The 13,196-nt window shown below is 43.1% G+C and overlaps 1 protein-coding gene, 1 long non-coding RNA gene and 1 other non-coding gene across 4 annotated transcripts in view, besides 7 other annotated features; 1 reads left to right on the top strand and 2 right to left on the bottom strand.

The window, feature by feature from the left end:
* Positions 1 to 8,940, bottom strand: part of KAT6A (lysine acetyltransferase 6A) — a 122,509-nt gene extending 113,569 nt beyond the window's left edge. For both annotated transcript variants that reach the window (NM_006766.5, NM_001305878.2), the window contains exons 1-2: positions 8,854 to 8,940; positions 5,331 to 6,255 (exon numbers count right to left, since the gene is read on the bottom strand). In NM_006766.5, coding sequence (NP_006757.2) covers positions 5,331 to 5,930 — 600 coding nt within the window. In that variant the 5' untranslated portion in view covers positions 5,931 to 6,255; positions 8,854 to 8,940. The remainder of the gene's footprint in view (positions 1 to 5,330; positions 6,256 to 8,853) is intronic.
* LOC124900271 (small nucleolar RNA SNORD112) lies at positions 457 to 528 on the bottom strand. The gene has a single exon (XR_007061209.1). It is a non-coding gene; the product is annotated as a small nucleolar RNA SNORD112 (small nucleolar RNA).
* Positions 8,034 to 8,503: a silencer, noted in NCBI's record as "silent region_19150". NCBI's record gives its function as "represses an Ori minimal core promoter by ATAC-STARR-seq in GM12878 lymphoblastoid cells {active_cell/tissue: GM12878}" and the evidence as "EXISTENCE:reporter gene assay evidence [ECO:0000049][PMID:35858748]".
* Positions 8,604 to 9,233: a silencer, noted in NCBI's record as "silent region_19151". NCBI's record gives its function as "represses an Ori minimal core promoter by ATAC-STARR-seq in GM12878 lymphoblastoid cells {active_cell/tissue: GM12878}" and the evidence as "EXISTENCE:reporter gene assay evidence [ECO:0000049][PMID:35858748]".
* Positions 8,604 to 9,583: a biological region, named in NCBI's record as "H3K27ac hESC enhancer GRCh37_chr8:41909597-41910118".
* The window catches only part of KAT6A-AS1 (KAT6A antisense RNA 1), a 53,238-nt gene continuing 48,744 nt past the window's right edge, over positions 8,703 to 13,196 (top strand). The window contains exon 1 of the long non-coding RNA NR_136589.1: positions 8,703 to 8,938. This is a non-coding gene — a long non-coding RNA (KAT6A antisense RNA 1). The remainder of the gene's footprint in view (positions 8,939 to 13,196) is intronic.
* Positions 9,032 to 9,553: an enhancer, noted in NCBI's record as "H3K27ac hESC enhancer chr8:41909597-41910118 (GRCh37/hg19 assembly coordinates)". NCBI's record gives its function as "activates a minimal SCP1, AML or CMV promoter by ChIP-STARR-seq in primed H9 embryonic stem cells {active_cell/tissue: H9 hESC(primed)}" and the evidence as "EXISTENCE:reporter gene assay evidence [ECO:0000049][PMID:30033119]".
* Positions 9,424 to 9,583: a silencer, noted in NCBI's record as "silent region_19152". NCBI's record gives its function as "represses an Ori minimal core promoter by ATAC-STARR-seq in GM12878 lymphoblastoid cells {active_cell/tissue: GM12878}" and the evidence as "EXISTENCE:reporter gene assay evidence [ECO:0000049][PMID:35858748]".
* Positions 9,554 to 10,074: an enhancer, noted in NCBI's record as "H3K27ac hESC enhancer chr8:41910119-41910639 (GRCh37/hg19 assembly coordinates)". NCBI's record gives its function as "activates a minimal SCP1, AML or CMV promoter by ChIP-STARR-seq in primed H9 embryonic stem cells {active_cell/tissue: H9 hESC(primed)}" and the evidence as "EXISTENCE:reporter gene assay evidence [ECO:0000049][PMID:30033119]".
* Positions 11,544 to 11,838: a silencer, noted in NCBI's record as "tiled region #9305; HepG2 Repressive non-DNase unmatched - State 24:Quies". NCBI's record gives its function as "represses a minimal TATA promoter and a strong SV40 promoter by Sharpr-MPRA in HepG2 cells {active_cell/tissue: HepG2}" and the evidence as "EXISTENCE:reporter gene assay evidence [ECO:0000049][PMID:27701403]".

The following is a 13,196-nucleotide window of genomic DNA, read 5'->3' on the forward strand; positions in this document are numbered from 1 at the left end:
ATGAAAAAATAATAATGTAAAAAAATTACAGTTCATAAACTAAAAAAGGCTTTCAAAAAATTTATTTTGTATCTCTATTCTGTCTGCTTTAATCCCCTCACAGGACCTAAATCTTAAATCCACTGTTCATGGCAGGCATTCAAATGTTTGCTAAATAAATAATGAATAACTGAAGTAAATGGAACAAATTACCTTACAGTAATATCTATATTTCAAAAAGAAATTTACAAAGAGGAAGATGCTATTTAAGCCAGTTACACACTCTTCTCCTCACCTATAATCCCATGATTCAAGGAAAACAGTATTTCTGTCCCAAATTAAAGCACTCTGGTATAGCAATACAACTGATCCCTACCTTGCCTATCAGAAAATGTTAGTGACAACTGAAATGAAAATTAGTTAGCACAGAAATTATCTTTAAGGGAAAAAAATGGCATGTAGGTGAAACTTTTTTTTAATGGACCTCAGATATACAAAACTAGATTACTCCTAATCTTTGGTTCCTAACACATTCTTATCACTGGTCCAAAGTGAATTTTCAAATCTGTTCTGCAAAAAAAGAAAAATGGACACAATGAAGACGGGCGGGAATTTGTCCTTTAACAATTAGGAAATGTGCTATGAAGTTAACACCAAGGACATTCACGATTCTGTACTTGAGTGCAGTGATAGCCATCATACATTACTGCTCCTAAGAGGTGGTCAGTATGGCTATTACAAAGACTCTGGAGCCAGACTGCCCAAATTCAAATCCCAGCTCTGCCACCTAATATTTGTGTGACTTCAGCAAGTTACTGAAATCTCTTTTATGCCTCAGTTTCTTCACCTGTAAAATAACAGTAGCTATTTCACTGCTGGTACTGTTATGTTATTAATAACTAACTAACCTAACAGTAGCTAGTTATGTTAGAGGATTAAATGAGTTAATATATATACAGCATTAAAATAACGCCTGGCACATAGTAAATAAACACTTTAATAAATAAACTCACCATTAACTACCACACTCTAAAGTTAGCTCAAAAATTTCCCTTATAACATGGGTAAAAACTTTTTTTTTTTTTTTTTTTTGAGATGGAGTCTTGCTCTGTTGCCCAGGCTGGAGTGCAGTGGCACAATCTAGGCTCGCTACAACCTCCGCCTCCTGGGTTCAAGCGATTATCCTGCCTCAGCCTACCGAGTAGCTGGGATTACAGGCACCCACCATCATGCCGGGCTGATTTTTGTATTCTGTAGAGATGGGGTTTCACCATATTGGCCAGGCTGGTCCTGAACTCCTGACCTCAGGTGATCCACCCCCCCCTCGGCATCCCAAAGTGCTGGGATTACAGGCCTGAGCCACCAGGCCTGGCCTAAAAACTTTTAATCACAGTATCCCATGGATTCTCCTCAGTACTTATCAATGTGAAAAGAACACACTAAAGTTCCAATGTCTTCACAAAAACTCCTCTTAAACGTATTCCAACACAGTTGATCTCCCAAAAGGATCAAAACCACTCAGCTGCCGAAAATCTAACATACAGTTCCTTCCAAAGGTTAATATCACCAAAAAAAAACAAAAAGTTAGAATTGATACCAGAAAAAGTAAAGAGGAACTTGCTCGGGTTACTCCACGCAGTCTTTGAATTTCATCTTCACCTTACAGTTGGCCAGGTCAATAGAAATACCTGCATTAGCATCCCAGAGAAGACAGAACTGTTTCTGTTCCAAGCAGAGTGCCTGGCCCACAGTAGGTGCTCAATGACTATATGCTGAACCAATTAATTCCTAAAAGTGAAACTACTCCTGACCTATACACCTTCCTTTCTCCATCACTGTCAAATAAACTCTGGATAATTCTTTTCTTTTTTTGAGAACATCTAGGTTCGTAACAGCAAACTATCAATTCTGCATAGCAACTGACTGCGTAGTTCGAAGGAGAGGAAAGAAAATAGTTAAAATACAATAAAAGGAGCAGACATAATCTGTTCAAAGGAATAATCTCTCATCCTAGAGTTCACTGTATTACGATTTTTAATGTAAACTTTTCATATCTTTGGGGGAAGTCACACAGGAAATTCACTACTGAAAATAAGACTCCATTTAAAAATATAGAACAGAGCTCACCAACTCTAATTGAATAGATACTATCATGAAATTAGTTTTCCAATGAGATTAGTACATATACAAGTCTACCTGAAGAAACAAACTCTATTTTCCAACATGTCTAAATTTAGTTACTTCAGTTAACACTATAGGCAGGGTGGCTCATGCCTGTAATGCCAGCACTTTGGGAGGCCAAGGTGGGCGGATCACCTGAGGTTGGGAGTTCGAGATGAGCCTGACCAACAGGGAGAAACCCCGTCTCTACTAAAAATACAAAATTAGCCAGGCATGGTGGTCAGCATGCCTGTAATCCCAGCTACATGGGAGGCTGAGAAGGAAGAATTGCTTGAACCTGGGCAGCGGAGGCTGCAGTAAGCCAAGATCGTGCCACTGCACTCCAGCCTGGGCAACAAGAGCGAAATTCCATCTCAAAAAAAAAAAAAAAACAAAAAAACACTATATATGAAAGCTATGTAAGCAAATGGGCATTTCTTTTTCATTTTTTCAATTATTAAATCACTTTTGTTTTTCTTGCTTTATTTCTCCAAAATCAAATGTGGCCAGGTGCGGTGGATCATTCCTATAATCTTGGCACTTTGAGAGACCGAGGTGGGCAGGTCGCTTGAGGTCAGGAGTTGAGACCAGCCTAGCCAACATGGTGAAACCCTGTCTCTACTAAAAATACAAAAAAAAAAAAAAAAAAGTAGCCACACGTGGTGGCGCAAACCTATAATCCCAGCTACTCAGGAGGTTGAGGCAGAAGAATCGCTTGAACCCGGGAGGCGAAGGTTGCAGTGAGCTGAGATCACACCACTGCACTCCAGTCAAAGCAAAACAGCACATCTCTACTGAATTAAACTTTTCTTAATGCAAAGGTGCTATGAAATGGTCTCAACAAAGGTCCTTAGCTCAGCTGCAAAATAAGGACTTGGATTAGACGGTTCTCAGGGTCCCTTCCAAAAGTAAAATCTCAGGGTTCTAGGACTTGGATTTGTCTTGCACTGTACTATATTTACTACCTTTTAAAAATATGCTCAAATGACATTTTTATATAGCTAATATTTTTTAAAATTATCTATTGATAATTCAAGCAAGTGTAATTACAATAAAAGCAAACAACAGGCCAGGCACGGTGGCTCAAGCCTGTAATCCCAACACTTTGGGAGGCAGAGGCGGGTGGATCACTCGAGGTCAGGAGTTCGAGACCAGCCTGGCCAACAAGGTGAAACCCCGTCTCTACTAAAAATACAAAAATTAGCCGGGCGTGGTGGTGCATGTCTGTAATCCCAGCTACTTGGGAGGCTGAGGCAAGAGAATCGCTTGAACCTGGGAGGCGGAGGTTGCAGTGAGACTGCACCACTGCACTCCAGCCTGGGTGACAGAACGAGATTCTGTCTCAAAAATAAATAAATAAAAGCAAACAGGTGGCCTAACAGGAACTTATAACATCCAATTCACAGGTATGGCACTGAACTGATCTAACTATAAATTATTTCCTGTTTCCAGGCAGTTAACCTGTTAGATCATTTAATAATTGTAGAAATCCGATAACTGTATTTAAATTCAGCCACATGTGATAAAGTTTCTACAGGTAAGAGTTCTTACAGCACTTAAATATAGAATAAAGCATTTTAATTACTTGTCTACCCTGAATTTTTAATATATACTTTTAATAAATGCTCAAATTACATAGAGCCATTTTATGAATGAGATTCTCTATCAATTCATGACTGTATGAGAATCATTTCAAGGGTAATAACAGTAAGATTATGTTTTATTTCAATGTTCACAGGGAAAATTGAACCCTGAAATAGATCTCTAAAAATTTCATCAAAGAAAAATACCGTTAATTTTCAATTGTTAAAGAAAAATCTACAGGTATTCAGTGGGCTGCTAATAATACAACAAATTGAGATCAAATCTCCAATTTTCAAAATACATTCAATGTTAACTTTACCATCTTTCCACCCTAGGAGTATCCTCCATCATCTTAAGCAAAATGAAGATCATTTTACTTATGTCTACCAAGGTGTGCAGCAACTTAAAGCATCACTGCTCTCCAAGGAACTATAATTCAGAGCACCTTAAGTAAATTTACAGCTAAGATACTAGGTCAATGTAAAAAACAGGTACTAACAAAATTCTCCTAATCTCCAAATATCTATTTAAGCACCAAAATTTACTGTTTAAGAAGTCATAATTTCAACTATATACAATAACATCCTAAAACACAACAGAGTAAAGTACACATCTGGGCATCAAAACTCCCAACTCTCCAGAACTTTACCTTTCTTTTTGTTTTTAGAACAGGGTCTCAGTTGTCCAGGCTGGAGTGCAGTGGTGACAGCATAGCTCACTGGAGCCTCAGACACCTGTACTCAAGCAATCCTCCCCGACACAGCCTCCCAAGTAGCTAGGACTACAGGCGCGCCCATACCTGGCTAATTTTTCTATTTTTGGTGGACGTGGGGTCTCGCTATATTGCTCAGGCTGGGCTCAAACTCCTAGGCTCAAGACATCCTCCTGTCCCAGCCTCCCAAAGCGCTGGGATTACAGGCATGAACTACTGTTCCAGACCCTCCAGAACTTTTCTAGTTTAGGATACTGTATTCCTGTCCCATGCAACTACAGCTGTCATAAATAGCATTTAGGACTTCATCATATGCAAAGCCATAATACATGACAGAAAGCTATAATACAAACAGCAGAAACAAGAATTGCTAAGTTTGCTTAGTTGCGCCTATGGGTCATGAGAATCTGTCTCATTTCTGTCTAACGAGTAATCTGCAACAAAATGGAAAACAGAAAAATGTTCTCAGAGTCATCTGCTTGTTTCAAATTCAAGTCTCCATGATTTGGCTGCTCATCAACTTCCAGTAGTAAGGTGTTCTAAGAACCTTTAGTTAAAGTTTTAAAGTCTCACGCTGGAGTACTCCTCAAGCAAAATAATAAAAAAAAATTTAAAAAAAAGTTTTAAACTCATATGTCACTTTTTCATTGTAATGTAAATAAGTTCTTTTAGTCAGATTAACATTCTACATTTTTAATCTTAGGCTTCAAATATTTCAAAGTACCAGAACAAATCTATGAAGCTCTCATAGCTACAACTCACCAATAAAAAACCAGAGGTGATCACTCCACAGAAGTCCCCAAACAAAAAACTTGAATATAACTTCCCAGAAATGTGAATTTGTAGCATCCTATATCATCAGCTCTATAAACCCCGAAGCATATGCCATTCTTACCTTATCCTTTTCATGTGGAAGAAGGGACACTGGAGGTAAACAGGAAAGAGACTCACAACTCTCTTTCCCATCCACGTTGGTTGCTTTAGTGTTGAGCCGATAAAGAGGTCCATCTTTAAGGAGTCTGCCGTGGCCAATGGCACGTTTGATAGCCAATCGTAACTGCTGGTGAAAGCCAGAGGCAGCACTGCCTCCGAATAATGCAGACACATCCTTCTGACCTTTCAAAAAACGTTCAATGCTTTTCAAAGTTGAGCCACCAGACTCTGCCAAGCCCTCAACTGCCCGCTTTATCAGTTTATTCCAATCCACATTTTGTTTATTATCCAATTTTCCATGGTTCCGAGGCTTAGGAAGTGCTATTCGCCCAGGATTATCAGGATCTTTATAGGAATTGAGTCCTTTATTTGAGACTTTTAAAATTGTTCCATCTTTAACACTCAACTCCAATTGTTCTAAAACAGTTTTACGATCCAAGCCATGGGATGAAGACACAGCATTGCATATCCTTTCTTCTGAAGGACGCTGTTTCTGCTTTTTCACTTTTTTGATGGCCTCCAAAATCCACTCAGTATAAAGCGGGTTTGCGAGTTTTACCATGGTGAAGGATTCTGTATATCCATAGAGTCGTTATCCCTTATCCTGATGCTGAGTAAGTTTTACACCATGGAAAACAAGATTCTCGGAGGCTGGGAACCAGTTAACCATAGCATATGAGTTTTCTGGCCTAAGTCCTTCCTCCTTTCACAAAACAGAATGCCACCCCAATTGTACTATAGAAACCAAAACAACCTGTTGATTGAAATGTCTTCCAACTTCCCAATGAATTTCTCAATAGCACCACACATGGGTCTCGTCATAAAGTTGTAAGAACTCAAGAATATTTCATTCCCGGCTCCAGAGCAGAAAAATGTGCATCTTATGCCTGAAAAGCAATGAAAATAAGGTCAGTTTTCTACCAAGACCTATTTCGAATGAAAATAAGCATCCTCATCATAAAGCAATCAAACAGCAAGTGTTTACTAGGCACCCTTAAGAATTTCCAAACTTATCTATTAATATTCCAAAACAATCATGTATGTAAACCATTGGGATAAAAAAGAAAAAAAAAGAAAAGAAAAAAAAAAGATGAGTAATTAGGATACAATGAGGAAACACGATGACATGTTCTAAGAATGACCTTTAAGCTACCACTAACCAGAGTGGGTGATGGCTATTCTGTACTCCGCAATCTCTGCTCACCAGTCTAGGAATTTCAACTCTTCCTTGACATCTTTCCCCAAGAAACTAGTCAGCACTTCAACAAGTATCTGGATTAGTAGAAAGAATCCTGCAATGAAAGTAAAAGTGAATCTTTCATCTTTCAAAATTCTAGACATTCAGAGTAGACAAAAACAGTCAATAAGGCAGAAAACGACTGAGAAAATTTTAGTTCTTACATGAAAAGAATGAATACAATATGCACACCCAGTTTATAATTTAAGTACAGTATTACCTTAATCTCTCCTAATGGAAACAAAAATACTATTGAAAATAGCCTAGAGTAAAAGTGCTTACTGAATTTAACAATAATCCACTTTCATTCAAATTTTAAGAATTACATGCTGATAGCTTCTCCTAACCCAAACTAAGATGTTTCTATTCATATGCTGAAGAGAGTCACAACTGTCAAACTGCGTGTAAGTAATTCAGACAGGAAAACTAGAAATGAGGAAGGCCCAGAATCACTGGGGTCAACGCACATACTACATATCAAACGGACGGTACAGAAAAAGAAATACACTGGCTACTTGTAGGACTAAAGAGAAGCCCAAATAATAAAGATATAAATTCAAGATTGCTGTCCTGAAACGAACATTAATAAAACATAAACAGAAATGTACTGTCTCTCTGAATCAAAGTCAGTATCCCTATAAAAGAATCTGGTAGATGCAATCTTGTTTAATCACTAAAGTACTGAATTCTGAATCTAACTCTTTTGCCTCCAAAAATAAGTTTAACTGAAGTGTTTTTTAGAACTTCTGCTCTCATTCTGGAGATCATTTGCATTACAATATAAACAATGCTAGACAAATGGCTCCCACAGCAACTATTCTTGGTAGTGACATTAAAATCAAACGGAAAACTAATACACACTAGGAAAGAGATATTACTATTAACTCTGATAGGAAAGAAAAGAGTGAAGCAAACATTCAAACCTGAGCCAAGATTTGTTTTTAAATCAGCTGCCTAAAAAGAAGCCCCCTGGGAGAATCATGCTTCAATTTGGTGAGGGTCTCAAGAGGATAGAAATCAGAGTATCATTACTCCAAGTAAGCTCATTATACAGATATTAAGTCTAAACTAAATGAGAAGCTACATCCTGAGTTTAACAAGCTGGGAACGAACGTCCTAATTGACTAAGCTTCGCAGGTAAAAGAATGAGTGACAGTCACTCATTGTCTTTCCAGTCGGGATTGTCATCAGTCTCCAGGTCTTCGGAAAGTCAAGCGCCTGCAGCCTCGGATCTTAACTCCCGGAAAGTACACGAGCGGCTAGAGCGAGCGCAACTCGCTTCCGACAGTCCTTCCCGTCCCCATTCCCCACCCCTAAACACGTCTTCGCGCTCTCTTTTCAAAGAGCGAGAAACTTTAAAAACTTGGATCTGCACAGCCCGGCAGCTCGCCGACGGGGCGCTGCACCGTTTCCACGCGATGGAAACAGACCCCGAGCACAAGTTAACAATGAAATCACGTGAAGGAGTTCAGAGCGGTGCATAGCCCCGGCCCAGCTCCGCACCCTAAGCTCTGGGGGCCGGCTCGAGGGCGGCGCGGGTTGCTGGGAGCCTGACAGTCGCGCACCGGGCCAAGCCGCGAGGTTGACAGGCGCCCGGCCTCCCCTCGGCGGCTGGGCTGACAGCCCGGCAGACACAACACCACACGTGCTGCGCCTCGCACCACAACACCCGCCGGCCTGTCAGCCCCGCTCGCCGCCTCAGCCCCGCTCGGATCCCCGCGCCCCCGGCCGGAGCCAAAGCCGGAGCCGGAACCCGAGCCCGAGCCCGAACCCGAGCGCCCGCGAGCGCGGGGAGAAGCGGCCCGGCCCGGCACAGCCGGCACGCGCGCGGCGGGCGGGTGGGCGCGCCCCGAGGGAGAGCGGGCTCGCCGGCTCCGCCAGCCCGAGGCTCCGCGGCCTGGGCCGCTCGCCGCCCGCCCACCCGCCGGCTCCCCCAGGGCGGGCCCGGCCGGCGGGATCGGGGGCGCGGGGCCCGCGAGCGCGGGGCCGGGCGGCGGCGCGCGGGCCGCGGGCCGGGGCAGCCGGGCGCCGAACAAGCGAGCAAGCGAGCGAGCGAGCGGGCGGGCGCGAGGGGGCGGCCACGGCGCCCCAGCCCGAGGCCTGGCGCAGAGCAGCGGGAGGCGGCGCAGGCCGCGGCGGGGCCTGCAGCGGCCCGCCGACCCCGCGAGGCAGCGGAGTGGGCCCTGGAGCGGCTCGGCCTCGGGCTGGGCGGCCGGGGGCGGCCGGGAACGGCCCCTCGGCTACTTACCGGGAGGAAGGACAGCCGAGATCCCGGGGCCCCGGGCCGGACCGCGGAGATGCCCCAAACTGACACGGCCGCCATCTTGGAGACAGTGAGCTCCAGCCGGGGGGAGGGGAGGCAAGGCGGCGGAACAGCCGCGGGGGGAGGGGAGCGTCGCGAGGGAACGGCGGCCTGGGGGAGGGAGCTGGAAGAGCCTGGGCGGGCGGCGAGGGGAGGCGGAGGCCCGGCAGCGCGGGTGGGGGGCGGCCGAGAGCGGGAAGAGCTGGGCCGAGAGCCGGGAAAGGCCGGAGGGCGGGGCGGGGCAGCAGGGAAGAGCCGGCCGGCGGGGTCACGTGGGGCCGGTACAAAAGGCCAAAGCCAGGGGAGGAGGAGGACTTGGTGGGGCTGGAGGCTGGGGAGCGGGGGTTCCTCCTCTCCCGTCTCACGCGTTTAAGTCAGACGGCGACCCGGGAGAGGAGGAGCTGGTGCACCCCATGCCACCGCTGGGGAAACTGAGGGCAGGAGTCTGGGTGGGGTGGCTTCAGTGTGGCACGGAAATCCGGCAGCCACGCAGGATGGGAACTCTCGGCGGCGTCTGTTTACAGTTAGTGAGCCCTCCCTCCCCACTCATTTGCCTGCACAGCGACTTTCCGGAGCCCGAGGGCGGGGCCTGGGGGGCGGAGAGGAGGCGGCTTCCCGTCCTCACCCCTGGCAGCTCGCCTCAGCCCCCGACGGCTCTCCTGTGTCGGTGGGAAGAGTTGGGGAGAGGGTGGAACCAGAAGCACCCGTCTTAACCCCTTTCAGCAGTGACTTCATTTCTTCCCTCCCCCAGCAGCTGAGAGGGTTCTTGGAGCTCACTAGAGCCATTTTATGGGAGACTCCACAGACCTGGGTCGTGTGACTTGGACAAGGTCACACAGCTAGTATGTGGCGCGCACCTGAGCCTGGGACTGAGATTTGTCTTATTCCAAAGCCGGTCTTCCCTTCTTGCCCTGTGCGGAACTCTTGTCCATACTTAGGGCGTTGGAACCACGAGCAGGCGGTTCTTCATGGCCTGCCTGTCCACTACTGGCTGTATGGACGTTTCTTTGTCTTGCCTTTCATCTACTTTAAACTCTTTGATGCAGAGACTGAGTCATACTTTTTTTTTTTTTTTTGAGACAGTGTCGCTCTGTTGCCCAGGCTGGAGTGCAAGTGGTGCGATCTTGGCTCACTGCAACCTCCGTCTCCTGGGTTCAAGCGATTCTCCTACCTCATCCTCCTGAGTAGCTGGGACTGCAGGCGCCCGCCACCACGCCTGGCTTATTTTTGTATTTTTAGTAGAGACGGGGTGTCACTATGTTGGCCAGGCCGCTGGTCTCGAACTCCTGACTTCAAGTGATCCGCCCTCTTCGGCCTCCCAAAGTGCTGGGATTACAGGCCTGAGACACTGCACCTGGCCAAGTCATGCATTTTTTTTTTTTCTGCATTCACTAGAAAGACAGTAGACATGAAAAAGACACTAAATGTTTAATCGTTGACATGGACGTGTATCCTGCTGCCTGACCTTTATCTGCCCTGTCCCCAACCCCATACGACACACCCCGCCTAGACTGTCGCCCGCAATACCTCATTTTATCTCAGCTTTAGCTTTTAAGGGCCTCCCTCTCACCCACTGCCTTAACTTCCATGCTGACTTCCTTTTCTGAACTTCTGTAGTAGTATCATTTGCTCTAGTCATTTTGCACTTACATGTGATATATATATATATATATATATATTCCGAATACATTCACTGGTAAATGCTCTCCTATAATGACTCTGCATCTCCAGCACCTAGAATAATGTTGTACAAGTACTGTAGTAGGCGGTTTAAAATAAAAAAATGTTGCTCGTGAATGAACAATTTTTTAAGCCGTTAAGAAAGCCGTTTGTGGCGGGGCGCTGCTGTAGCCCAGCTACTCGGGAGGCCTGCTTGAGCCCGGGAGTTCCAGGCTGCAGTGAACTATGATCGCCACTACACTCCAGCCTGAGAGACACAGCAAGAGGGAACCCAAACTTTTCTATCTATCCCGTCTCCACTCTAATCCATAGCCCTACCCTCCATACGGTAGACTCTGGACCATTCAGTAAGAATAACGTAACTTTTCAGATCATGGTCCAGCCTAATCAATATCCTGACACTGACAGAAACAGAAGTGTAATGTAGTGAGGTTGACTGAGTTGCCATTCATCGCCTACTTCCAAGCCCCATCTCCAAAGCAGTAGAGAAATTTGGAATACATGATAATCCAATAGAAAGGATCTCTTTCATCCTAGATGAATCAGATAGACACATTCTCAGGTAAAATGGTCCCTGTTTGTAATGAAATCACCTCCAGGAAAAAAAAAAAAAAAAAAAAAAAAAAAAATATATATATATATATATATATGTATTTTCTTTTAGTAGAATAGGCAGATTTTTATTTCCCAAAGAGGGCAGATAAAGTCATATTAATGCAAAGACAATGAGTTCTTCATGTGAGACTAGAGTGTGTGGCCTTCAGAAGAAAAATAATACAGAGATGAGTTGTGTTTACTTTTGGATAATTTGGAAGAAAACTAGCCACAGCCATCCTGTGAAAAGACCAAACTGGGGATTAAACAGTAGCAAGAATTTAAAACAATTTATAACAACAAAGCACAGTTGAGCTTTTCACACAGCTTCCATAAAGAGTCTCTGCTTTACATTTGCATAACTAAATGGCACATTCAGGAGGTCTTCTCAAAATAAAAATCTTGCAACAAAGACGGATTAAAGTCCTCATCATTTGCAAGTTAAAAAGCAATCTGCACTCTGAAAGGATAGTTTTTCTTAGCTCAAACTTTACTCACGATTCAGCCCTGTGGAGCTGGCAACTAAAGGTTATTTCCCCCTTGCATATTTTGCTCTAGGAATCCCTGCCTTTTCACTTGTACTTGGTACTTGTGTCTTATACAGAGTCCATGCCAGCCTGAAATTGGAAGTTTGCTCTGTCCTGGTTTCAACAGGAAACATTTTTAGTCCATTTACATTTAATATAATTACTGGTATATGTGGATGTATGCCTACCATCTTACCATTTATTTTGGATCACCTATTTCACATTCCTTGTTCTCTGCTTTTTGCCTTCTTTTGAATTAATTAAAATATTTTAACTATATCATTAACCCCCTCTATTAATTTTTAAATTATACATTACTAGTTTTAGAGATTACAACATTGCTTTTTGACTTATGATCTTATACAAAATAATTACTTTTACCACTTCCCCGGGAATGCTAAGACATTAAAATACTGTATCTCCACCTACCCATCTCCCTTTTGTGTTTATTGTCGTCAAGGATTTTAATTGTGTGTGTATTTTAAGCCACACAAGAATTTATACTTATTGTTCTGTACAATAAGTACTCATTTAGATTAACCTCCATATTTATCCTTATATTGCTCTTCATTCCAATATGCATTTCTGTGCTTCTGTCTGAAGGTTTTCCTTCTATTTGAATAATTCCCCTGTTTTACAGCAGGTCTGCTGATGACAAGTTCTCTCCAAGGTTGTTTGAGTTTTTGCTTTTTGTTTTTTGTGGGGTTTTATTGCCTAAAACTTTGCATTATCCTTCATATTTTTGCTGGGTATAGCATTCTGATTTGGCAAGTTTTTTTTGTTTTTTGGTTTTTTTTTCCCAGCACTTTGAAGATGTTCTTCCATTGTCTTCTGGTTTCTGTCACTCCCTTTTATTCCTTTGAAAGTAATGTCTTTTTTCCTTTGACTCCTTTTAGGATTTTTTCTTGTCTTTGGTTGTCAACAGCTTTACTATGACGTGTGTAGATGTGGTTTTCTTTGTATTTATCCTACTTGGGTTCATGAGTGCAATGGGTGTATGCGGAGTCCCTTGCATTTGTGGGTTTATATCTTTTAGGAAATTCTTGATCACTGTCTCTTCTCTCTCCTTTCCTTTTAGGGTTTAAATTATACATATGTCAGAATTTTTCATTGTTTACCATCTGTATTTCCTATCATCTTTTTTCCCCCATTTTTTTCTCTATGCATGAGTCGGTATATTTTCTATTTAATTGTGTACTTTTAAACCCATTTGTGAATTCTTTATTTTGTTTATTATATTTTTAAGTTCTAGAATTTTCATACGATTCTTAAAATCAAATTCATTTGGAGAAATTATTTATTTATATATGTATTTTCTCTGCTGTTGCCTTTATTTTCTTGAACATATCAATCCTAGATTTTTTTTTAACCCTAGATATTTTAAAGCTCTTTCCAATCATTACAATAGCTGAATCTTCTGTGGATCTATTTCTATTGTATATTCTTTCCATTGGTTTCGGTCATTTTTTTTCCTGGCTCTTAGCTTGC

Source organism: Homo sapiens, chromosome 8 (assembly GCF_000001405.40).
Source record: "Homo sapiens chromosome 8, GRCh38.p14 Primary Assembly".
Lineage (NCBI taxonomy): Eukaryota > Metazoa > Chordata > Mammalia > Primates > Hominidae > Homo > Homo sapiens.